The 4,023-nt window shown below is 39.2% G+C and overlaps 1 annotated feature.

Moving 5' to 3' along the window:
- Positions 934-1,803: an enhancer, noted in NCBI's record as "H3K27ac-H3K4me1 hESC enhancer chr14:43828358-43829227 (GRCh37/hg19 assembly coordinates)". NCBI's record gives its function as "activates a minimal SCP1, AML or CMV promoter by ChIP-STARR-seq in naive H9 embryonic stem cells {active_cell/tissue: H9 hESC(naive)}" and the evidence as "EXISTENCE:reporter gene assay evidence [ECO:0000049][PMID:30033119]".

Genomic DNA, 4,023 nt, shown 5'->3' with positions numbered 1-4,023 from the left:
CACATGCAAACACACACACATATGTACATATTATATATGTCTGTATGTGTGTGTATATGTACATGAAAAATTCTAATTTTCTAGGCCTGTGTGTTAAGAAAGTCTAGAAGTATCATGATTATAGCAATTGGTATACCCGGTGCCCAGATCTTGGTTTCTAAATATTCTTCTGTAAAAGAAACATAAGAGTTCCCTGAAAAGTCCTTACTTCTAGGGCAGGGGTAGAGATAAGTCAAGATAAATCTAGATCATCTGGTACTGCCAAAAAACAAGGAATTTCTCAAAAAAGAAAAAGAATGCAGGCATGTCAAAAGTACACAGGAAATTATCTGTGATGGCAGAACCTGCTGCTGCTGCCTGGCTTCTCTCCACTCATGGTGCCCTCTCTGATTTTGTAGCAAATTTGAGGACAAGCCTGGGCTCTGTCACCACGTGGCTGGGCGTGTATGTGCTCAGGGCAGCACTAACAGGCCAGCCCCCTGCTGCCTTGACCCCCTTCAGACTTTGGATTCCAACAAGCATGGGAGGGAGGCCAAAGTGGCACTGAGGGCTGCTTGGTGTGGGCCTGAAGGTGCCTTTCAGCACAAACAGCTTGGATGCTGTGGATGACATGATTGATGGTGGCAGGAGGCAGACAGGCTCCTGGGTGGAAATGGGCGGGTCCCTGGTAAAGATCCACCATCAAGCCAGGGACAGCCTGAAGCATGGGGGCTAGTCTGTCAGTTCCCGGTGGAGACTGCAGCCCAGAGTGAGAACTTATGGTGCTTTTTCTAGGCCCATCCATGGCTGCCCATGGACCAATTAGCATTCATTTCCTCCTTTCAGAAGACCATAAAAACCCTGGACTCAGCCAGACACACAGAGACATTGGGACAACCTGTATGTGGACAGGAGCTATCCACAATGGGTCTCTTCTCAGCTAAGAGCTCACTCGTCAGGGCTACTTGCCTATAGAAAGGAGCTACTAGGCTCGGGTCTCCTGAAAGCTGTACTTTTGCTCAATAAAGCACCTCTTCACTCTGCTCACCCTCCAGTTGTCTAAGTACCTCATTTTTCCTGGACACATGACAAGAACTTGGATCCGCCAAACGTCAGAACTGAAAGAGCTATAACATACATAGAGATGAAATACGCACCCCTGCTCCCACTCCCCTTCATAATGTTGTGGACAAGGAGGAGAGAAGAGCTGCAGCCCTTCTGGGAGTCCAGACCAAGGGGCTCCCCAAGCCAGGGCTGTGACACCCTCTTTGGGGCCGGTGGCTTCTGGCATTTGAAAGCTTTCGGCCACTGCATTCCCCTCAGCCAGATGTGGGTTCCTGCAGCAGAAGTAGCATGCGGTACATCTGGTTCAGCTGCAGCCTTGCACAAACTTGGCACCTGTGCTGGAAACTGGGGCTGCCCTCCCTACTGCAGCAGCCAGGATGCCTGGTTTTGTGCAGTGGCCAGGCCCTGTGTGTGCTCACCCACACACCCCTCACCACTCCACAGCTGGCTCGCCCTTGGCAGGTGTGATATCTGGGCTGGTAGCACCTGCCAAGTGCAACCTTCCAGGCTGAGTGGGTGGAATGAGCCCAGTGGGTGCAAGCAATACTCAGGCAGAAGGTGCCACCAGCCATAGAAGTTTCTGGCTGATGAAGCAACACCCCAAGGATCCTGTGACATCTGAAGTTCTAAATGGTCAATCCTAGAACAATTTGTGTAGCAAAGTAAATAATCATAATATTGGATTATAGCTTAATGAGTGAAATGAGTATTTTAAATTCATTCTGATGCATTATGAATCATAATATTGGATCATAGCTTAATAAGTGAAATGAGTATTTTTAACTCATTCTGATGCATTATGAATGAGGAGAAGGGGCAACTCTTTTTTGCAGAATAATTCCAATTACCAAATGTAGAAGAAATTAGTAAAATAAAAAAATGTCCATGCTTAGAGCATCACAGTAATAATCTCTATAGGCAAGTTCCTGATAGTGGCTAAAAGCAATTGGTGCACAGTTCAAAACAAATAGAATCTTGCTGCTATGTATTTGATTGAGCAAATATAGAACAATTTCATCATTATCAGCTGAACAGTGTTTTTAAGTGATTGTCAATAAATGGATGATATATTTTTAAAAAATGAAATCTTTAAGTTTTGGCACATCACTATTGTCTAAGAAATTGGTAATTACTTTACATCTTTAAGTATAAATTACCTTATACTGAACCCAGTTTTGTTAGGTCATACATATCTCATTTTCTTATTAGACAATAATTGCTGCAATTTATAAATAATAGTGTGAAAAAAATCAATTAAATATAATCATAGAAAATACATAATTGCATGTGAGAAATATACTGTGTAAATGTTCTCCAAGAACTATAATGATTTGCAATTTATGAGCACATATACATATAGAGAAGTAGATAAAATGGTGAATCTATTAATATGCCATGGTTGAAGGCCCAAATATCTGTTTGTCATCATTTACTGAGTCTGAAAAATTTAGTCTTTCCACTGGATTATTTAGCTCATTTATGTTTAACATAATTATTGAACTATCTGATTATATATATATATTCCTATTTGTTTTCTATATGAAATACTTCTATGTTCCTTTTTTCTGATCTTTATTTGTATTACTTCAATATTGTTTTGTTAGCCCATTTTTTCTCTATTACTTGTTAATGAAGCATTCTTTCTGTTTTCTACTAAGTACTCTAGAGATCAAAAATGTAACCTTGACTTATTTCAATCTATTACAAAATATTGCTGTTATGATTTCCTTGATATTGCAAAAGGTTTATATTTTAAAGTCATTTATTTCCCTCTCTTTTTCTACATTATTCTATTCATGAATTTCAGTTAGACTTATATTTTAAACCCTATTACTCATTACTATTATTGTTTTATACAGTTAATGTTTGCCCAACATTTATTATATTTATCTAATATTTAGCTTTTTGATGCTCTTATGCCTTCCTACCTGTAATTTATCTCTCCCATTCTAGCAGAAGGAAGGGTAAATCGTCCCCTTTCTGAAGGAAGAAAACATTATCTGGAGTCTCATTTTTCAATAGACATGCCAGAAGGCAAAACCACATGTTAAAGAATCTAGAGGAGAGAACATAGCCCATGAAAGCAGAAACACTGTTATTCAGATAACAGAGATAACTGACATAGAACTTTAAATAATTCTTAACAATATAATACATAAAACACAAGATAAGGTGAATAAAATAGATAAGAACATGGAGTATCTCACTGAAAATTGAAATGTATAGAAGAATCCCACGTGTTTACATTTAGAAAGTAAAATATAATGCCTGAAAGTAACATCATTAGATAGACATTTTAGCAGAACTGAAAGAGAAGAAAGCATGATTAGAAAATTGGAAGGCAGGTTAAGAGACAATATATAAACATAACTGCAGGGAAAAAAGGTAATTTAAAAATACAGGAAATAATAAAGTTGAAATCTCTAACATTCATGTAATTGATTTGAGAGGAGAAGAGAGATGAAGTGCCAGCAGTTTATCTCAGTGCACATAGGGACTGCACTGTTTTGAGCCTGGGTGTCAGTCCAGGTAAGGCTGGGTCTACCTCAGCTTCACCCCTTATCCTTCAGGCTTGTCAACTGAAAAACTCATTTATTTCCTTTTCTGGCAAGAGTGCTGTTGCTCTTTGTTTTTCAAAAACTTTTTGATAAAATATTTGGTGTCCAATTTCCTCCATTCTCTGAGGACTAAACAAACATATGCTTGACACAGGCCCAGTCTCTGTCAACATTTCTGCTAGTCTGTTACACAGCAACAGCCCCCATGGCACAATGTGAATTTCCTCACTCTTGCTTGTGCAATGCATTAATTTTCCATTGATACCATAACAAATTACACAAATTTGCAGCTCAAAACAACACATGTGCATTATCTTCTGATTCTGCAGGATGAAATGCAACATTGATCTCACTAGGCTAAACTCAAGCTGTCTCAGGGCTGAATTTCCTTTTGGAGAATATAGGGGATAATCCAATTCCA

This window comes from Homo sapiens, chromosome 14, assembly GCF_000001405.40.
Source record: "Homo sapiens chromosome 14, GRCh38.p14 Primary Assembly".
NCBI classification, from domain to species: Eukaryota; Metazoa; Chordata; class Mammalia; order Primates; family Hominidae; genus Homo; species Homo sapiens.
This window is presented reverse-complemented; position numbering and strand designations above follow the sequence as displayed.